This window comes from Homo sapiens, chromosome 17 (genome assembly GCF_000001405.40).
Source record: "Homo sapiens chromosome 17, GRCh38.p14 Primary Assembly".
NCBI lineage: Eukaryota > Metazoa > Chordata > Mammalia > Primates > Hominidae > Homo > Homo sapiens.
In genome coordinates, this window is record NC_000017.11 from 80,317,139 (window position 1) to 80,338,614 (window position 21,476).

At 47.1% G+C, this 21,476-nt stretch overlaps 1 protein-coding gene across 12 annotated transcripts in view; it reads left to right on the top strand.

Annotated features, from left to right (window-relative positions):
- The window catches only part of RNF213 (ring finger protein 213), a 137,943-nt gene that overhangs the window by 56,287 nt on the left and 60,180 nt on the right, over nt 1–21,476 (top strand). For 11 of the 12 annotated variants that reach the window (XR_007065355.1, NM_001256071.3, XM_047436482.1 and 8 more), the window contains 10 exons: nt 50–139; nt 2,052–2,174; nt 7,892–8,060; nt 10,678–10,851; nt 11,190–11,339; nt 14,868–15,493; nt 16,967–17,132; nt 19,023–19,240; nt 20,448–20,588; nt 20,695–20,859. Coding sequence is in view for 11 of the 12 variants with exons in the window: in NM_001256071.3 (NP_001243000.2) it covers nt 50–139; nt 2,052–2,174; nt 7,892–8,060; nt 10,678–10,851; nt 11,190–11,339; nt 14,868–15,493; nt 16,967–17,132; nt 19,023–19,240; nt 20,448–20,588; nt 20,695–20,859 (2,022 nt within the window). In the remaining variant the exon portion in view is untranslated. Of the gene's footprint in view, nt 1–49; nt 140–2,051; nt 4,326–7,891; nt 8,061–10,677; nt 10,852–11,189; nt 11,340–14,867; nt 15,494–16,966; nt 17,133–19,022; nt 19,241–20,447; nt 20,589–20,694; nt 20,860–21,476 lie in introns of those variants that run through there. The other variant, NM_020954.4, reaches the window with a different exon arrangement.

Below are 21,476 nucleotides of genomic sequence, written 5' to 3' on the forward strand. Positions count from 1 at the left end.
GTGGCATTTAGTCGTGAGAGTGGGTGTGACCTGTGTGCGGGTTTTGCAGGTCTGGAGGCGGCTGGTGGAAATCCAATTCCCCGCGGAGCATGGCTGGAAGGAGTCGTTGCTGGGAGACATGGAATGGAGGCTCACAAAGGTACCAAAAGTTTGGGGGCAGTCTTTTCAGGGCGTGAAGGCAAGCTGGAGAACCCCAGACCATTAGCGACAGCCAAGAGATCTCAGCAGTGCCTCTCTGTGGGCAGGGATGGGGTGAATCACAGCTCCGTGTTTCTGTTTCTGATCCAGCCCTTATAGTCTGTCCCTAGAAGAGCGCTTCGGAGTCTTACTGAGAGGACAGAGAAGAACAAGGGCCCAGGATCTCACCATCATGGGGGTGCGGGATTTTTCCTGACCCCTTCGTTGGACTTGCGACAGGGATGCTGTGTTTACTTGGCCCGCCGTGCTCAACCCCTTGTGGGAGGGAGCACGTGAGTGAGTGTGGCATCTGGCCAGCTGCTTTGGGAGCTGGCAGGAGCAAGCTCCGTGCAGGCCCTGCAGCAGTGCCCAGATTGAGGTGCCTGCAACCCCCGAAGCTCCAGAGGGCATGTTACAGTGCTCTCTTAGCTCCGCCGTCTATGGACAGTAGTGTGTTATCAGCTCAGTGGGTCCCTTGCCTTGTTGCCTAGGGTGGCTGCCCTCTGCCAGGGCCAATGTGACAGCCTCTTTTAGGTACCCACACTCGGTGGGTCCCAAGCTCTTGTCCAGCATCCAAGAAGAATGGGGTCACCCGGACACTTGAAGGATGGTGAAGGTGGAGAATTTTATTAAGCAATGGAAATGGCTCTCCATGGAGAGGGGAGCTGGAGAGGGGATGGGTCAGGTGGGGAATCTTCCTCTGGTCCAGGTGTCTGGCTGGCTCTTCCCTGAAGTCAGGACGTCTTTCCGAAGTTAAACCGTCTCTCCTTGGAAGTCCAGCCATCCCTCTGAAGTCAAGTCACCTGTTTCCAGTGAAGCTACTTCTCTCTCACTACCAAGTCTGGGGTCTTTATAGGCACAAGATAGGGGGCAGGGTGGGCCCTAGGTAGTTTTGGAAAAAGCAACATTCTATTGGTAAAAAGACATTACTCCGAAAGAACCAGTGGGGAGAGAGTAGGCACACGGGGATAGAGGTTCTCACTTTGGGCCATGGGTTTCAGGCTTTTCGGCTCGAAGGTGGGGTTTTGCCAGGGACCCGCCCCTGTCTGCGTAGGATTTCTCTGCCTCCTGCCTCCATCAATGGGGCCCCAGGCACAGGAGGGGCCAGGCCTGCCCATAGGCAGGAAGTCTAAGTGGCCTGTTGGTGACAGGAACCTCATGACACACAAGTGGAGAACACACAGACATGCCCCTCATGCTGAATTAAGGCCTGAGGCTCAAGGAAAATTAGTTTTTATGTGATATGAGAGTTTTATATGTAACTTTTTTTTTTTTTGAGACGGGGTCTCGCTCTATCGCCCAGGCTGGAGTGCAGTGGCGGGATCTCGGCTCACTGCAAACTCCGCCTCCCGGGTTCACGCCATTCTCCTGCCTCAGCCTCCCGAGTAGCTGGGACTACAGGCGCCCGCCACCGCGCCCAGCTATATTTTTGTATTTTTTGTAGAGACGGGGTTTCACCGTGTTAGCCAGGATGGTCTCGATCTCCTGACCTCGTGATCCACCCGCCTCAGCCTCCCAAAGTGCTGGGATGACAGGCGTGAGCCACCGCGCCCGGCCTATATGTAACTGTTAAATGGATCTTTAAAGGGAAAAGTCAGAAACAAGGAAAAATGACCTATGTCTCATAACTTACCTGTTTTTGCAAGCCAGGTGCTTTTTCTGCAGAGTGGGAAAAGAGACTCTTTTAAATTTTAGCCTTTGGTCTACTGGTGGGGGGCAGGGAGGACATGCTTTGCGTGGGCCAGGAGAAGCTTAAAATTGGGGGAAACAGTAAAACAGCAGGAAAGTAAAAATGATGAAAGAATTTTCATCCCATAGAGCACTGGAGCGCTGCATCCGAAAGCTCTGAAACCACCCCCCTTTGATTTTTGCAGGAGGAACCCCTCTCCCAGATCACTGCCTACTGCAATAGTTGCTGGGACACCAAAGGCTTAGAGGACAGTGTGGCCAAGACCTTCGAGAAATGCATCATTGAAGCCGTGAGCTCAGCCTGCCAGGTGAACAATCTCTCCTCCTGGGAAACGGATTCGGGCTCACAGCTGTGTTCTGCCATGACCCAGCTAAGGGCTATGAAGCACCCGCTGGGTCTCAGCTCCTCCGCTAACTCAGAGATTGGGAAGTGGGCACCCTCCTCCCTCGCCAAGGGCAATGGCGCTGAAATCTAGTTCTCTCCGGATTCCTCAGTGTGCTGCACAGTCCCTGCTGCTCGCACCATCCTGCATGTGTTCCATATGGAATCACGGCCGTGCGCGTGTGGCACAAGTCACACGGGCTTGCAGGCCGTTCCTCAGATGGCCCTGTCATCACTGTGGCTGCTGGTTTGATTGATTGTTAACACTTGCTCAGTAGGTGTGCGGGAAGAGACTCCAAAGGTTGACAGAACATTTATGGAAGCAAAATATGTGAAATGGAAAATTGTATCAATTTATTTAGCTCTTTTCGGCAAAGGGGAAGAGATTGTGCCCCCCTGTCTCCCAGGAACAGTCTCGCAGGCAATGCCACATGAGGAAGCTCCCTGCTGGCCACGGCTGCCCTGCTCACATTTCCTAATTGGACACTTAACCCCTGTACAAGCACAGCCTTGCGGCCACAGGGGAAGTCCAGAAACATTGAGGTCATTGAATTCCGGGGACCAAGGGGTTCTAATTTTTTAAGTGACTGATACCTTTGATAAGGTTTTCCTTTCCCTTTTTCGTTAACTCTTTGTTGAGATATTGTTCGTATGCCATACGGTACATCTGTCAAAAGTTCCAGTTCAGCAGGTTTTGGGGTAGTCACAGATATGTACAGTCATCACCACAGTTAATGACAGAGCATTTTCATCACTTCAAAGAGAAACCCGGCCCCTTTAGCCATCATCCTCCTCCCCTCTAGTCACCCACTCCCCTCTGCAGGCATAAACAATTGCTGAACATAAACAACTGCTTCTGTGGCTTTCTCTGTTCTGACTGTCATATGAATGGAATCATATCATATGTGGCCTTTTGGGTATGGCTTATTTCACTGAGCATAATGTTTTTTTGTTGTTGGTGGTGGTGGTTGTTTGTTGTTTTTGAGACAGAGTTTCACTCTTTTTGCCCAGGCTGGAGTGCAATGGTGCGATCCTGGCTCACCGCAACCGCTGCCTCCCGGGTTCAAGTGATTCTCCTGCCTCAGCCTCCCAAGTGCTGGAATTACAGCTACTTTTTGTTTAAAGAGTCTTTTAATTGTTTAAAGAACAATGTGCCGCCACACTCGGTTCCTTTTGTATTTTTAGAAGAGACAGGGTTTCTCCATGTTGGTCAGGCTGGTCTCGAACTCCCGACCTCAGGTGATCCACCCACCTTGGCCTCCCGAAGTGCCGAGATTACAGGTGTGAGCCACCGCGCCCGGCCGAGCATAATGTTTTGAAAGACCGCTCAGGCTGGACACGGTTGCTCACGCCTGTAATCACGGCACTTTGGGAGCCCAGGAGTTCAAGACAAGCCTGGGTAACAGAGTAAGACCCTGTCTCTATAAAAACTAAAAAATAAACAAAAAAAATTAGCCAGGCATGGCCGGGCACACCTGTGGTCCCAGCTACTTGGGAGGCTGAGGTGGGAGGCTCCCTTGGGCCCAGAAGGTCAAGGCAGCAGTGAGCCATGATCACACCACTGCACTTCAACCTGGGGGACAGAGCAAGACCCTGTCTCAAAAAGCAATAACAACAAAAGTCCATCCATATTGTAGCTTGTGTCCGTTTACGTTAAGTATTCCTTACCCAAAATGCTTGAGACCAGAAGTGTTTTGGATTTCAGATGTTTTCAAATTTTGGAATATTTGCATTTACATAATGAGATGTCTTCCAGATGGGACCCAGAGTCTAACCACAAAATTCACTTGTTTCATATACATCTTATACACATAGCCTGAAGGTAATTTTATACAATATTTTTAACAATTTTGTGCATGAGACAAAGTTTGTATTAAGTATTTGTATGTTGAATTTTTCACTTGTGGCATCATTATACTCAAAAAGTTTGGATTTTGTAGTATTTTGGATTTGGGGATTAGGAATGCTCAACCTATATTTCATTTTTTTCCATGGCCAAATATTCCCCGTTTATCCATGTGTCCATTGACGGCCATCTATGTTGCTTCTTCGGCTATTATAAATCTGCTGATACAAACATTAGTGTACATATTTATGTGTGGGTGTATGTCTTCATTTCTCCTGGGTGTATACCTCGATGTAGAATTGCTGAATCATATGGTAACTCCATGTTTAATTGTTTAAAGAACTGTCCGGCCGAGTCCCACAGCAGCTGAACCATTTTCAATCCCTCCAGCAGCATAGGAGGCTTCCAGGTTCTCCACATCCTCACTAACATGTGTTGTCTAACTTTTTGATTCTAGCCATCCTGGTGGGTATGAAGTGGTATCTCCTTGTGGTTTTTGTTTGTTTTTTGAGATGGAGTCTTGCCCTGTCACCCAGGCTGGAGTGCAGTGGCGTGATCTTGGCTCACTGCGACACCTCCACCTCCTGGGTTCAAGCAATTCTCCTGCCTCAGTCTCTCGAGTAGCTGGGACTACAGGCATGTGCCACCATGCCCAGCTAATTTTTGTATTTTTGGTAGAGACGGGGTTTTGCCGTGTGGGTCATGATGGTCTCGATCTCTTGACCTCATGATCCACATGCCTTGGCCTCCCAAAGTGCTGGGATTACAGGCGTGAGCCACTGTGCCCGGCCTCATTGTGGTTTTTAACTGCATTTCTCTGATAACTAATGATATCAAGCATCTTTTCATATGCTTATTGGATTTGTCTGTATCTTCTTTGGAGAAATGTTTATTGAGATATTTTGCCCCTCATCCCCCCCACCCCCCCTTTTTTTTTTTTTTTTTTGAGAAAAGGTCTCGCTTTGTCACCCAGGCTGGAATACAATGGCACGATCACAGCTCACTACAGCCTCAACCTCCTGGGCTGAAGTGGTCCTCCCACTTTAGCCTCCCGAGTAGCAGGGACTACAGGCATGTGCCACCATGTTCAGCTAATTAAAAAAAAAATTTCTGTGGGCCGGGCATGGTGGCTCATGCCTGTAGACCATCCTGGCTAACACGGTGACACCCTGTCTCTACTAAAAATACAAACAATTAGCTGGGCATGGTGGCATGTGCCTGTAGTCCCAGCTGCTTGGGAGGCTGAGGCCAGAGAATCACTTGAAGCCATGAGGTGGAGGTTGCAGTGAGCTGAGATTGTGCCACTGCACTCCGGCCTGGGCGACAGAGCGAGACTCTGTCTCAAAAAAAAAAATTTTTTTTCGTAGAGACAGGGTCTTGAGATGTTGCCCAGGCTGGTCTTGAACTCCTGGACTCACATGAACCTCCCTCCTTGGCCTTCCAAAGTGTTGGGATTGAAGGCATGAGCCACCGCACCTGGCCTCTTTTGCTCATTTTTAAATTGGGTTGTCTTTTTATTATAGAGTTGGGAGTCTTTATTCTATATACAAGTCACTTGTCAGATATATGATTGCAAGTATTTTCTCCCATTCTATGTGTTGTTTTTTCACATTCTTATTGGTTTCTTTTGAAGCACAGAAGTCTTTAATTTTGAAGAAGTTAGCATATCTGTTTTTTCTTTTGTTGCTTGTACTTTTGGTGTCAAAGAATCCTTTGCCAAATCCTAGGTGATGAAGATTTACTCCTATGTTTATTTATCTCTAAATGTTTTATAGTTTTAGCTCTTACATGTAGGCCTTTGATCCATTTTGAGTTCCTTTTTATATATGGTGTATATGGTGTGAGGTAAGGGTTCTGTTTCATTCTCTTGCATGTGGACATCCAGTTGTCCCAGCATTTGTTGAAAGGACTCTACATTCCCTGTTGAGTGATGTTGGCACTCTTGTCAAAAATCTGTTGACGATACATGTATGGATTTATTTCTAGATTTTCAATTCTATGTGGTGATCTACTTGCCTATCCTTGTGTCAGTACCACACTGTTTGGACTACCATTGCTTTCTAGTAAGTTTTGAAATTGGGATGTGTGAGTCCTCCTACTTTGTTCTTATTTTTCAAGATTGTTTTGGCTATTTTGGGTCCCTTGCAATTTCATAAGAATTTTAGAATCAGTATGTCAGTTTCCACTGACAAGGAAGTCAGCTGGGATTCTGGTAGGGCTGGTATTCAATGTATAGATCAGTTTGGAGAGCATTGCCATCTTAACAAGGTTAAGTTGGATTTCTTTCATTCAATTAGATTTTTTTTTTTCCCCTGTTAGACAGAGTCTCGCCCTGTTGCCCAAGCTGGAGTGCCCAAGTAGCTGGGACTACAGGTGTCCACCACCATGCCTGGCTAATTTTTGTATTTTTAGTAGTTTCACCATATTGGTCAGGGTGGTCTCGAACTCCTGACCTCAGATGATCAACCCGCCTTGACCTCCCAGAGTCCTGGGATTACAGGCATGAGCCACCATTCCTGGCCAATTTCTTTTAACAATGTTTTGTATTTTTCATAGTTTAAATTTTGCACTTCTTTTGTTAAATTTCTAAGTACTTTTTTTTGGGGGGGGGTGCTATTGTAATTGGAATTGTTTTCTGAATTCTGTTTCCAGATTGTTCCTTGCTGGTGTCTAGACACACAGTGCTCCATGCGTCTTGTATCCTGCAACATTGCTGAGCTCATTTGGTAGCTCAAATTGTGTGTGCGTGTGTGTGTGTGTGTGCATGAGAGAGAGAATTAAATTTTCTATACATAAGATCATATCATCTGTGAATAGAGTTTCACTTCTTCCAATCTGGATGCCTTTTATTTCTTTCTCTTGCATAACTGCCCTGGCTAGAACCTCCAGTACAATGTTGAATGAAAGTATTGAAAGTGGACATCTTTGTCTTGTTCTGATCTTAAGAGAAGGTTTCAGTCTTTTGCCACCAGGTGTGATGTCAACGTGAGCTTTTCATAGATGCCCTTTATCAGTTTGTGGAAGTTCCTTTTTGTTCCTCATTTGTTGAATGCTTTTTTTTCTTTAATCATAGAAGAGAGTTGGATTTTGTCAAATGCTTTTCCCGTATCTACTGAAATGATCATGCGATATTTTCCTAATGTTATTAACTGATATTTGATGTTAAATCAACCTTTCATCCCTGAGATAAATTACACTTGATCGTGGTGTATAGTTCCTTTAACATGGGGCTGGATAAGGTTTTCTTTTATCCTTTTAAATGTCAGAAAGTATCTATTATAAATTAACCTTGTGGTTTTTACTAATTACTGAAATGTTTTACAGAAACTTTGAACCTAAAGGAAGAAAAATATTGTTTCTCGGAGGAGAATTAAAAAGAGAATTAAAATGTATATGTTGTTTGTAGGCAGCTTTTTAAAAGAATTATGGTTTAGGAACATAAAATATATGCTATATTAAGGGTTTATTCATTTTTGGTATTTTTCATGATATGAAAGTCCAAAAAAAAATGTAGAAACTGGCAGCCAGAAGGAAGGAGGGTGACTGGTTATGTTGGTGTGTGTTTGTGTGTGTGTCTTCACATCTCTGGTGCTGGACACTTAAGGAGGCAGTATACAAGGAAATGAAAATTTTCGAAGAAATGTAAAGTGTTTTACTATTTTGCTCTTTTTGTGGCCTTATAAAACAAGTTACAGTAGATTTCAGAAATGCTATCGAGTAGGTAATTTGCTTTTGTTATTTCAAAACAAACTAATGAAAAACTTCTAAATGTCCCTCTTTTATTAATTTTCTTGTAGTCTCAGACCAGTATCCTTCAGGGGTTCTCTTACTCTGATTTGCGGAAATTTGGCATCGTCTTGTCTGCTGTGATCACTAAGTCCTGGCCTAGGACCGCGGACAACTTCGATGACATTTTAAAGCATCTGCTCACGTTGGCAGATGTCAAGCACGTCTTCAGATTGTGTGGTATGTTTGCGGGAGTGCTGGGAACATCAGCTCAGGCAAGGTGGTGTCTTCCTGATTGGGAAAGGTGGGAGGCAGAAGATTTGACATGATGATACTGAATTGGGATGGGCTGATGTTTGACAAAGGCTGCAGTTTGGACAGAGAGACCCTGGAAGGCTCAGAGTGTCTTGCGTTGTAAATAATAACTAATGCTAACAGCCACTATTCATTGAATGCTTGCTGTACCCTAGCGACTGTGCTGGGTCGCAAGGGAAGTGCCCTTGAAACAACCCTTCTGAAAGTCCCCTTTAAGGCCCCCAGTTTTCAGATCAGGAAACAAATGGAGAAGGCAATGCGACTTACCTAAGGTCTCAAAGATTATAAGTAGTAAAAACTAAAATCCAGACCCAGGTATGTCTTATTTGGAGATCAATATAGAATGTCCAAGCCAACATTGATGACCTCAACAGAAAGTGAAGTACTGTGCTGTCTGATTTCCCCCCAGCCCCCCGCGCCCCAGGTGTTTTGTGGTCAAGGAGGGAGAGAGAGAGACATTCCATCCTAAAAACGTTAGAGTCCAGTTGGCGTGTGAGACCTTAGATTCATATCTTTCAGTGAGAAGGCGCTGGATGTGGAACAGCCAAAATCAATGCTGAGCTTCCTACACATCAGGGAAGCTGTGGGGATCAAATAACTGAATTAATATGGGAGTGCACAAGTAAAAGCTACTCTCTTGAAAAGATCATTTTTGTGTTATTTGTATTTATTTATTTATTTATTTATTTATTTATTTATTTTGGAGATGGAGTCTCGCTCTCTCACCCAGGCTGGAGTGCAGTGCTGTGATCTCAGCTCACTGCAACCTCTGCCTCCCGGGTTCAAGCGATTCTCCTGCCTCAGCCTCCCAAGTAGCTGGGATTACAGATGTGAGCCACTGTGCCCAGCAGTTTATTTAATTTTAAAACAAGGTCTTCTCTGTTGCGCAAGTTAGCATGTAGTAGAGTGATGCCATCATCGCTCACCGTAAGCGCTGACCTCCCGGGCTCACGTGATCCTCCTGCCTCAGCCTCCCAAGTGGCTGGCACTCCAGGCGTGCACCACCATACCCAGCCTGTTTATAAGTTGGATAGAATTTTTTAGAGCACTTTGATGTGTACAGAAAAATTGAGCAGAAAGTACAGAGAGTTGTCATCTATCTCTGCCACCATCACACGGGCAGTACCCTGTTAGTAACATGCAGCATTAGTGTGGTGCTTTTGTTACAGCTGAGAAGCCAATATTGATAACACTGTTATTAACTAAAGTCCATAGTTCGTTCCTGGTGTTGTCCATTCTCTGAGGTTTGGATAAACCATGGCCTGTGTCCACCATTCCAGTATCGTGCAGAATAGTTGCGCTGCCCCTACAAAATCCCATGCTCCACCCCTCCCATTTCCTTTAGTCTTTTCCAGAATGTCCTATGGTTGGAATCTTATAGGATGTCGCCTTTAGACTGGCTTCCTTCACTTAGTAATACGTATTTATGTTTCCTCCATGTCTTTTCATGGCTTGAGAGCTAACTTCGTTTTACCACTGAATAATATTCTATTGTATGGATGTGCTACCATTCGCTTACCCGTTCACCTCATGAAAGACATCTTGGTTGCTTCCAAGTTTTTGCAATGATTAGTAAAGCTACTATGTTTGTTTCTTATGGTGCAGATAAGCTTCATCTTCTCCTAATATTGTATGGCTCTAATATTACTGGGAGAGAAATCCTAAGTGGTTAAACAAAACATGTATAAAAATTCTGCCCTCTAAATTTATCATAAAATCAGTTCCAAGATTTTGCAAGATAATGAAGTTGTACAGAGTATAAAGTTATCACATGGCTGTTTCTCTCTTTGCATATGCTATGAAAGTGTCTCCCTAAGACCATCCTGATAGACATTGCTAGGTATGTCTGCATCCTCTGGTGCAGTTTCTTCTGTTGTAGGTATTCCTAGGGCAGGGGCTTTTTAAAGAAGATTCTGTGTATTCTATTTAAAAAATATACTCAGGCCATGTGAGGTGGTTCATGCGTATAATCCTAATGTTTTGGGAGGCCAAGGCGGGAGGATCTCTTGAGCCCAGGAGTTTGAGACCAGCCTGGGCAACAAAGTGAGACCCTGTTCTCTACAAAAAATTTTGAAAGTTTGCCAGGCATGGTGCTGTGCACCTGTGTTCCTAGCTACTCGGGAGGCTGAGGCAGGAAAATGAGGTTACAGTGGGCTATGGTTGTGCCACTGCACTCCAGCCTGGGTGACAGAGAGAGACCCTGTCAAAAAAAAAAAAAAAAGGAAGTCAGTCCATCCGTATACTGAAGGGGACGTGGGTTTTAACCTGAGAAATGTGTCTCCCAGCTGATTTTGGCCATTGCGGGAAGTCATCTTCTTGGACAAGGAAGTTGTTCAGGGGATGAATCTGGGCAAGACCTAACCCTCGTGGGGGAAAGCAGAAGGGAGTGGAATGATTGGCGCATCTGGAGACACTGGCCAGCCATTGCCTGTGTTTGAGGAAGTGGGGGCAGAACAAGAGGTTATCTGGAATTCCCACGGTAACGGCAAAGAGGCAGGAGGTGGGGAGCCCACTGTGTTAACTGTGTTCTTCATCTATTCAGGAACCGACGAGAAAATACTAGCAAATGTCACAGAGGATGCCAAGAGGCTGATAGCTGTTGCCGACTCTGTGTTGACGAAAGTTGTTGGTGACCTCCTAAGTGGCACGATTTTAGTTGGACAACTGGAGCTGATTATAAAGCACAAGAATCAGTTTCTTGACATCTGGCAACTGAGTAAGCATCGAGTCGATACGCACTTCAGGCTCCTGAGGCATTAAGTAGCTGGAAGACACGTTTGTGTTTGCGTGTGCATTTTTGTAAAGGAGATAATCATCTTAGCCTTGATAATGAGTATCTCTTCTTGCTCATAAGTTGATAGGGGTGGTTTATAATTCTCAAGAACATCACGGGAAAGTGATAAAATAATGGCCATCTCGAAAAAGTGGGTATGCGCAAAACCATCCTAGTCCTTCTCCTGGTGGCGGGGAAGGTGCGGCGCTTTCAAAGCATTGCCATGGAAAATGGCATTTGTTGCTGTATTGGGTTACTTTATTGGTGTTCTTATTTTCCAGGGGAAAAAAGTCTTTCACCCCAGGATGAACAATGTGCTGTGGAGGAAGCACTGGATTGGAGAAGGGAGGAACTGTTACTTCTAAAGAAAGAGAAAAGATGTGTTGATAGTCTCCTGAAGATGTGTGGGAACGTGAAACATCTGATACAAGGTGGTATTCCTGAGAAGTGAACAAAGTTGAGGGCTCTCAAAGGGTTAGAGGAGAACACAGTAAGAATGGATCACAGTAGCAGATCTTTATTTTGGAGAGAAGGCTTTAAAATTTTTTTTTTAATTTGCATTTGCTGGGGGGATCGCTTTCACCTCTTTTAGATTCTTCTTTTTGGTATTTATGTCCACATTTCCAAATAACATGCTTAAGTGTCTCCTGGATTTTTCCGGAGTCAGCATGAGCTGCTGACGCCCGCTGCAGAAGATGAGGGCTTAGAGCCACACATTTCTGGTCTGTGCCCTGCACACATCACCTTTCCACCTCCTGTTGCTTCCTGTTTTCTCATAACGGAGTTGCATCATTGTTTAGGGTTAAATCATCAGGACCCACACGGATCACAAGTGAACCACGAAAGAAACCGTCATCATTTTACAATTTTTGCACAAACTCTCTGTTTTCCACAGAATTACATTTCCTGTCAGATGCTGTTTTCACTGCGTTAATGATACGCTGTTTTCATTGTATTAATTTCTAATTCCATCGCAATCTCTGCCGAGTGTCTGAATTTCCTTGAAGATCATTGGTTTGACCTTTGAAAAGGAACCTGCCAACCCTGGGCTGCAGACGTAGGGTGGAGTCTCCCTCCACCTCCTAGGAGCCTTTGCCTGGCACCTGGGTTAGACGTGGTTCCCACGCCCCCCTCCCCCGCTACTCACTCCTGCTTCCTCTGTTGGCAGAGCACACCCTCACTGGCTTCCTGAGAAAAGGGCGTGTAAGAGGTTAAACCCTCGAATCCTTGTGTGTCTAAAGATGTCTGTCCTCTTACTAGGTCAGTCGCTCGGCTAGGTCTAGAATTACAGACCGGAAGTCATTTTCCTTCTGAAGTTTCAATGTGCTGCGCCATCATTGCCTCCACAGTGTGGCTATGTATGGAGAAGTCCGATGCAGTGCCAGTTACACATCCTTCATGTGTGTGACCTGTTTTCTCTTTCTTGAAGCTCTTGAGCTCTTTCTGTTACTCATATTCTGAAATAATAACGTGTCTTGGCCTGGATCTATGTTCCATCGAGGCTGGGCATGTTGGCTCCCACCTGTAATCCCAGCACTTCAGGAGGCCAAGGCAGGAGGACTGCTTGAGTCTAGGAGTTTGAGACCAGCCTGGGCAACATAGCAAGACCCCATCTCTAAAAAAAATACAAAAAAATTAGCAAGACACGGTGGTGCATGCCTGTATTCCCAACTACTTGGGAGGCTGAGGCAGGAGGATCACTTGAGCCTGGGAAGTCGAGGCTGCAGTGAGCCGAAATCACGCCACAACACTCCAGCTTGGGTGACAGAGTGGGACCCTGTCTCAAAAAATAAAATATTTTCAGTCCCCTCTATTGGGTATTAATAGGTAGGTCTTTCAACTCTAGACATCAAAATCCTTGAGTTCTGGGAAATTCTCTTGAATGATTTAATTTTTTCTTCTCTTGCTGGAATTCCTGTTAATTGGATATGGGACCTCCTGGATGATCATCTAACTGTCATCATTTTTCTCTCGGATTTTCTATCTCTGTTTTTTGCTCTGCTCTTGAGAGATTTATTCAGAACCAAACTTTCTGCTTAGGTTTTCATGTCAGCTTTCGTATATATATTTAATGTAGAGGAATTCTTTTTCTCGGAATGTTCCTTTTTAAATTCTGTCCTGTTCTTGTTCACGTTGCAGCATCTTCCCTTCTGGGTTATTCACCGTTTTGTTTTGGAGGTTTTGCTTTTCCTGGCATCATGTGCTGCTTCCTCCAGGTTCCTTTCACTTGTTGATTTGTTTTGATTTTCCTCCTATGTCTGGACATTCTTGTTTGTCTGTGTTTATTAAGAGAAAGCCCTCACAAGTGGGTTGGCCCTCTGCGGGGTGCTGCCGTGGGGTGCTGTGGCTCGACCTGGAAGTTGGCCTGTCTCCTGAAGTCTTCTGTCTCCTGCCTGGAGGGTGTGGGCCTGGCTGCCAGGTTTCTGGGAGCCAAGAGGGAGAAGCGGGCTGGCGGGCCTTGGCATCCCGTGCGTGGTCCTCCCATGGCCCGTGTTCTCAGTGTGGTTCTCCGCCACCTCCCTCTGTCTCCTGTGTTTCACACCCCATCCTCCTTCCCCCTGAGATTGGATAATTCATGTCTTCTGTTAGCTTCCTGAGAAAGGGGATGTGTCTAGAAAGGCCCTTTGTTCTGCCATGTATCTGTGGCCTCCAATCCACACGCCCCCCTGCGTTATCCTTTCTAGAAAATGAACCATCTCTTGGCTGCTGGGGTGAAGAAGGGGGTCCACCTGCTGTGTCAGGGCATTGGGGTGACAGTTGGTGTGCTGGATGGACCATGTCTTTTTTTTGGGACAGAGTCTTGCCCTGTTGTCCAGGCTGGAGTGCAGTGGCTCAGTCTCGGCTCACTGCAACCTCTGCTTCCTGGGTTCAAGTGAATCTTGTGTCTCAGCCTCCCTAGTAGCTGAGATTACAGGTGTCCACCACCACGTCCAGCTAGTTTTTTGTATTTTTAGTGGAGATGGGATTTCATCATGTTGGCCAGGCTGGTCTTGAACTCCTGACCTCAAGTGATCCATCCGCCTCAGCCTCCCAAAGTGCTGGGATTACGGGCGTGAGCCACTGTGCCCAGCCTGGACCGTGTCTTAAACAGACTTTGAACCCAGTCTTCCTTATTTCATCACCACCTCCCAGTCTGCAGTGACCTGCACAATGTGTGTCTGCTTTTTGGGAATCCTGTGACATAAAACTACTCAGCTCTCAGTGTTGCCCACTGGGACCCTAGGACTCCATGTTACCAGGCCTCATGTGTCATTTACCACTGGTTCAGCTCGTTTTCAACTTCTAAAATTTTGTTCCTGTTATCCTGTTCGCCATTCCTCCTCCTGTCCTTGTCAGTTTATGACTTTTTTTTTTTTTTTTGATATGGAGTCTCACTCTGTCACCCAGGCTGGAGTGCAGTGACACAGTCTCAGCTCACTGCAACCTCCACCTCCCAGGTTCAAGTGATTCTCCTGCCTCAGCCTCCTGAGTAGCTGGGATTACAGGTGCGCTCCACCACGCCTGGCTAATTTTTGTATTTTTAGTAGAGACAGGGTTTTGTCATGTTGGCCAGGCTGCTCATGAACTCCTGACCTCAGGTGATCCGCCCATCTCAGCGTCCCAACGTGCTGGGTGGGATTACAGGCATGAGCCACTGCGCCCAACTAGTTTATGACTTTTTAAATGCAATTTATGTTCTGTCATTGGAGTGGGGTTTGGCAAAGAGAGTAAATAGGTGCGTGTTTTCCCACTGCCATCTTTACCCAGAAGTTTATGATGCTTTCTTTATCATGAATATTGGTTAACAAGGCCAAGCGGGGAGGGAAAGACCTGTGAACTCTTCCTGAGAAAGAAATCCTAGCAGCTGTGTGCTCTTGAGTTCGCTCAGAGAAGTGAGGAGAGAAAGTCTTAGGAAAGTGAAATAAAATGGAATCATGATTAGAGCTTTGACTTCTGACACTTTCTTTTCGCTTCTAAAGTGGACTTTGGAGTGCTTGCAGTAAGACACTCACAAGACCTCAGCAGTAAAAGATTAAATGACACCGTGACAGTGAGACTGTCCACCTCCTCGAACTCGCAGAGGGCAACGCATTACCACCTGAGCTCCCAGGTCCAAGAAATGGCTGGGAAGATAGACTTGCTCAGAGACAGCCACATCTTCCAGCTCTTCTGGCGGGAAGCCGCAGAGCCGCTGAGTGAGCCTAAGGAGGACCAGGAAGCCGCAGAGTTGCTGAGTGAGCCCGAAGAAGAATCAGAAAGGCACATCCTTGAGCTTGAAGAGGTGTATGACTATTTGTATCAGCCTTCTTACAGAAAGTTCATTAAGTTGCACCAGGATCTAAAGTCAGGAGAGGTCACCCTTGCAGAGATTGATGTCATCTTCAAGGACTTTGTGAATAAATACACGGACCTGGATTCAGAACTTAAGATCATGTGCACCGTGGACCACCAGGACCAAAGAGATTGGATCAAGGACCGAGTCGAACAGATCAAGGAATACCATCACCTGCACCAGGCTGTCCACGCAGCCAAGGTCATCTTGCAGGTCAAAGAGAGCCTGGGACTGAACGGTGACTTCAGTGTTCTCAACACTTTACTAAATTTTGTAAGTTATTTGCTGGGGACTGTGGGGGTTTGGAGGGGCGTCCTGCCTCAGCCTCTTCAGGAGCCATGGGCTTTGTGGCTTTGAAAAGGGGGGCGGATGACTTAGAGCTTCCGTCAGGGGCTCCTGTGTGTGTGGTACTTGAGGCCTGAATATCCCAAGGGCTTTGTTTTTACCTTTGTTATAAATAGTACCACTGCTCCTTAGCCAGAGGGAGTTTCCTTGGGTCTGCGTGAAGATCAAGAACTCAGGAAAGGGCAACAATCCTCTTTTCATAACGGGCATTTGTAAAGGGTCATAGGCTCTCTCTAGGTTACAGAAGCCAAAAAGCAAAACACTTTGTCGGCTGCCCAACTGCATCTCCCAGTTCCACCCAAAAGCGGTAAATCAGTTGTTTCTGTTAGAGTTAAGAGGTGACTCTTTTGCTTTTTTTTTTTTGAGATGGAGTCTCGCTCTGTCGTCCAGGCTGGAGTGCAGTGGCGCGATCTTGGCTCACTGCAAGCTTCGCCTCCCAGGTTCACGCCATTCTCCTGTCTCAGCCTCCCAAGTAGCTGGGACCACAGGTGCCCGCAACCACGCCCGGCTAATTTTTTTGGTATTTTTTTTTTTTTTTAGCAGAGACAGGGTTTCACCGTGTTAGCCAGGATGGTCTCGATCTCCTGACCTCGTGATCCACCCACCGTGGCCTCCCAAAGTGCTGGGATTACAGGCGTGAGCCACCGTGCCCGGCTGAGTCTTCTGCTTCTTATGTTTTTAGGTAGACCGAGATAATGATTAGAATTTAGCTGGGCACAGTGGCTCATGCCTGTAATCCCAGCACTTTGGGAGGCTGAGGTGGGCAGATCACCTGAGGTGAGGAGTTCGAGACCAGCCTGACCAACATGGAGAAACCCCATCTCTACTAAAAATACAAAAATTAGCCGGGTGTGGTGTCAGGTGCCTGTAATCTCAGCTACTAGAGAGGCTGAGGCAGGAGGATCGCTTGAACCACGGAGGCGGAGGTTGCAGTGAACCGAGATCGTGCCACTGCACTCCAGCCTGGGCGACAGAGTGAGACTCTTATCTCAAAAAAAAAAACCAAAAAAAAAACCTGGAATCCCATCCATTTACACTTGAACCCTAGTGCACGTCCTCGAGGAAGCAACTGCTCTGGGCCTTTATTGACAAAGCAGAAAAAGCAACAGTAGTTACTTGGCAGGGTTATGTGAGGAATTGATTTTAAAATCCACTTTATTAAAATGCTTAGCAGAATATCAGGTTCCCAGGAATCACAGTTCATCTTGATCAGGGAGAAACAGCCATGGGGGTTTGATCATCCAATTCAGGGGTAAGAGCTTGGTGTGCCTGTTGTCACAGCAGTGGCAAATCTAGGCATTGAGGGAGGGTGGGGCTGCTGGGACGGTCAGTGCTTGCAGCTCACAGATTCTGGGGTTCTGGTTAATGAGTTCCAGTCCACAGTAGAGCTTTTTCTTGCAGACTGATAACTTCGACGACTTTCGCCGTGAAACACTGGACCAGATCAACCAGGAGCTCATCCAGGCCAAAAAGCTGCTCCAGGACATCAGCGAGGCCCGGTGCAAGGGGCTGCAGGCTCTGTCCCTGAGAAAGGAGTTCATCTGCTGGGTCCGGGAGGCTCTTGGAGGTAAAATCAGCCTTTGGGGTTGCGTGGAAGTGTGGAGAAAGTTTTCAGATGGCGCACTGTGTGGCGTTCCTAAACTCTTTGGCAATACCTCCCCTTGGCCAAGGACTACGTAAAGGGCAGAAAGACGTTGCCTGCATGCTTTAGGGAGATGGGCACTGATCATAGAGTTCACACCGGTACAGTATTTCCCATGTGCTGCTGTAAAAGCCACTCACCTTGCCACACCCCGCCACTTCGGAAGCTGTAAATGGCTCAGGTTCCTTTTCCTTAAAATCTTGCCCCCTTCAGCTTTTTCTTCCAGTAGATTTTTACTGGAGGACAAGGAGAGTTCCTGCCCACAGAGAGGTTTTTTTTTTTTGTTTGTTTGTTTTTTTGAGACAGAGTCTCGCTCTGTCGCCCAGGCTGGAGTGCAGTGGCGTGATCTTGGCTCACTGCAAGCTCTGCCTCCCGGGTTCACGCCATTCTCTTGCCTCAGCCTCCCGAGTAGCTGGGACTACAGGCGACCGCCACCACGCCCGGCTAATTTTTTGTGTTTTTAGTAGAGACGGGGTTTCACTGTGTTAGCCAGGATGGTCTCGATCTCCTGACCTCGTGATCAGCCCGTCTTGGCCTCCCAAAGTGCTGGGATTACAGGCATGAGCCACTGCACCTGGCCTTTTTTTTTTTTTGAGACGGAGTTTCGCTCTTGTTGCCCAGGCTGGAGTGCAGTGGTGCAATCTCGGCTCACTGCAACCTCCACCTCCTGGATTCAAGCGATTTTCCTGTCTCAGTCTCCTGAGTAGCTGGGATTACAGGCGCCCGCCACCACACCCAGCTACTTTTTTGTATTTTTAGTAGAGATGGGGTTTCACCGTGTTGGCCAGGCTGGTCTTGAACTCCTGACCTCAGGTGATCCACCCATCTCAGCCTCCCAAAGTGCAGGCGTGAGCAAGTACAGGCGTGAGCCACCGCGCCTGGCCCCACAGAGAGATTTTTCTCACTTCTCCATTGATGCTGTGCGTTTCTTGGCAGCCTCTTCAGTTCTGTGGCTTAGATGTCGTTGGCAGAGGAGAGAGGAAGAGGCAGAGGAGGCAGGAGGGGCACAGGTGGCAGTGCAGGTGTGCTCGGGGGTCTGGGGGCCACCACCTGCTGGATCTCAGGCTCTGGCTCTCTTGGGAGAGCCGCTGCTTTCAGTGGTGGACTCTCTGGTCCACACTGATGCACATCCTTCAGTGAGTAATTTATCTGAGGGGAATGATCTGAGTGTTTCATAGTTAATTGTGAACATGTTATTTACAGCTGAGCCTTGGTTTCTTTTTGTTTAAATGGTAATGTTGTGTGGATTGAAGGAAAGAGCATACACAGAAGTGCAGTACAGTGCCTGGGACATTGAAATTGCTCAGGAACGGCAAGATATCGTTTAGTGCTATTAACAGACAGTACAGGCTGGGCGTGGTGGCTCACACCTGTAATCTCAGCACTTTGGGAGGCCAAGTCGTGTGGATCACCTGAGGTCAGGAGTTGGAGACCAGCCTGACCAACATGGTGAAACCTGGTCTCTACTAAAAATACAAAAAATTAGCCAGGCGTGGTGGTGGGCGCCAGTAATCCCAGCTACACGGGAGGCTGAGGCAAGAGAATCACTTAAACCTGGAAGGTGGAGGTTGCAGTGAGCCGAGATCATGTCACTTCACTCCAGCTTGGGTGACAGAGTGAGACTCTGTCTCAAAAAAAAAAAAAAAAACTACAAAAGATTAGGTGTTCCGGACTCTTACTGAAAGCAGAAAGTGGACAGAACCTTAAAAATTCATGAAATATCCATTTCAGCTTCAGTAAGGATTACTGCCCAAGACCGAGTCTTGTGCTATCGTGGAATAGTCCCACGCTGAACTCCCCTCTTCTCTTCCCCAGGCATCAATGAGCTGAAGGTGTTTGTGGACCTGGCCTCCATCTCAGCGGGGGAGAATGACATTGATGTGGACCGGGTGGCCTGCTTCCATGACGCTGTGCAGGGCTACGCATCCCTGCTATTTAAGCTGGACCCCAGCGTGGACTTCAGTGCATTCATGAAGCATCTGAAAAAGCTGTGGAAGGCTCTGGATAAGGACCAGTACCTGCCCAGGAAACTGGTGAGTCTTATTCTGTCTCTAATGCAGATTTTGTTGAATAGAGCATTGCTTAGCAACGTTAGGGCAGTGACTGTGGAAATGGTGGCACACCTGTGTGGTAGGTTTGTACACAGCCGTTTTCAATGATATTTAAAAAGCTTTTCTTCATAAATGGAAATTCACCATCTTGTTACCTAGAAAGCAGGATACAAAATTACATGACACATAGTAATCTCTAAGGTGCAAAACACACGTGGAAAAAAGACAGAAGGGAAATATGCTGAAACGTTGCCAGGAGTTTTCTCTGAATGGTTGTAATTGTCATTTTATTCTGTTACTTTTTGTTATTTTCTATAATTGATAGAATTTTTTATCAGAAAAAAGTAAACATTTAAAATTAGCCAGGCATGGTGGTGTGCGCCTGTAATCCCAGCTACTCTGGAGGCTGAGACAGAATTGCTTGAACCCGGGAGGCAGAGATAGCAGTGAACTGAGATCACACCACTGTACTCCAGCCTGAGTGACAAAGTGAGACTCTGTCTCAAAAAAAAGAAAAGAAAAGAAAAAAGTAAACATTTAAGTTTAAGTAAACTACCTGTAGCAGGGTCTGAATTGACGTACGCAGCTTAACTAGATACCTGGGCCAGCCTCCGGACGGCTGCTCTGCATGTGGGTGGAGGAAGAAGTGACATATGGAAGGGCAGGTAAAGCTATCTTCATTTTTCTGCTAGAAAGTCAGCAGAGTTTCCAAACAAAACCCTCTGTTGTGATTTTTCCTAAACTTCTCTTATTGTACTTGGGGACCACAGAAGGACACTGAGGACTTGGGACTCCACAGCCATTGCTTCCAGCGTCACCCCCAGAGGGTTCTCTGCATTGGGGACCTGGCAGAATGATGGCGTCTGGTAGAGAGGCAGGCGGGCGGCTGCTCATTCCCCTCCACTCCTCCACAGATGTAAGTCAAGTGCCCCCATGTGCCAGCCGGGGCACCAGGCACTGGAGGAAACGTGGAACAGCGAGTACAAAGCAGCACTGAGTGACAGATCATGTTGTCAGGGTGGCACCTGGTCCAGCTGGGGCGCTGGGTGGGCGACTGCGTCCTGAGCCCTGGGGAAGCGTGGGGAGAAGGCTCTGCAGCGAGGCAGAGGCGGGAGGCCGACCACAGGAGGGAGAAGGGCAAGATCCTCGCTCCAACCGTGGCCCGTGTTCTCTCCTTTTGTCCCCATAGTGTGACTCCGCCAGGAACTTGGAATGGCTGAAGACTGTGAATGAGAGTCATGGGTCTGTGGAACGCTCATCCCTGACCCTGGCCACGGCCATCAACCAAAGAGGCATCTATGTGATCCAGGCGCCCAAAGGTGGCCAAAAGGTGAGCGGTCCCCAGCCCTCGGCGCAGCTGCGGCCCTTCTGCAGGCTGCTGCCAGTCCAGGTCTTCTGGCCCCAAGAAAGTGACTTCTAACCTATGCTCTTCACAGATTTCCCCAGACACGGTTCTGCACTTGATCCTTCCTGAGAGCCCTGGCAGCCACGAGGAGTCACGAGAGTACTCTTTAGAGGAGGTGAAGGAGCTTTTGAACAAGTTGATGCTGATGTCTGGCAAGAAGGATCGTAACAACACGGAAGTGGAGAGGTTTTCAGAGGTGAGGGCGCATCTTTGCAGTGGCGCTAAGCTGGTGGTGTCATCTCGTCCGTGAGGGCTGTGTACTCCCAAGAAAACGGAAAGGATTTGACTTGGGATTTGACTGATAAGAAGGGCTCTGCTCTTAGGCCCATGGAGAGTAGAGTTGGCACATTTGTAGGGTGCATGGAACTCTAGTCCGCGGCCCCAGAGAGGTCTTAAGGCAGGCAGGCCCCTGGGTTAGCAGTCCCTCCTTACGATCCGTAGGATGAACGCTGAAGCTGGCAGCCTGTCCACCGCACTGAGAAGGAGGTTGGTCACCCAGCAAATAGCCCTTAGAAAGACACTTGAATTGCCTCTCTCACTCTGTAAATCAGCAAGAATCCAAATAACTAAGATTTAGATGGACAAAACAGAAGTAATCATATTGAGAATGGTGTACCGGTCTAAGTAATAGTCTCTCAATTTTATTATAGGTTCTTTCTCTAAAGTTGATTTGTACTTTACAAATGGTATCCTTTATCTCTGCTGGGTGCAGTGGCTCACACCTGTAAAGCCAGCACTTTGGGAGCCCAAGGTGGAAGGCTCATTTTAGCCCAGGAGTTCATGACCAGCCTGGGCAACATAGCGAGACCCTGT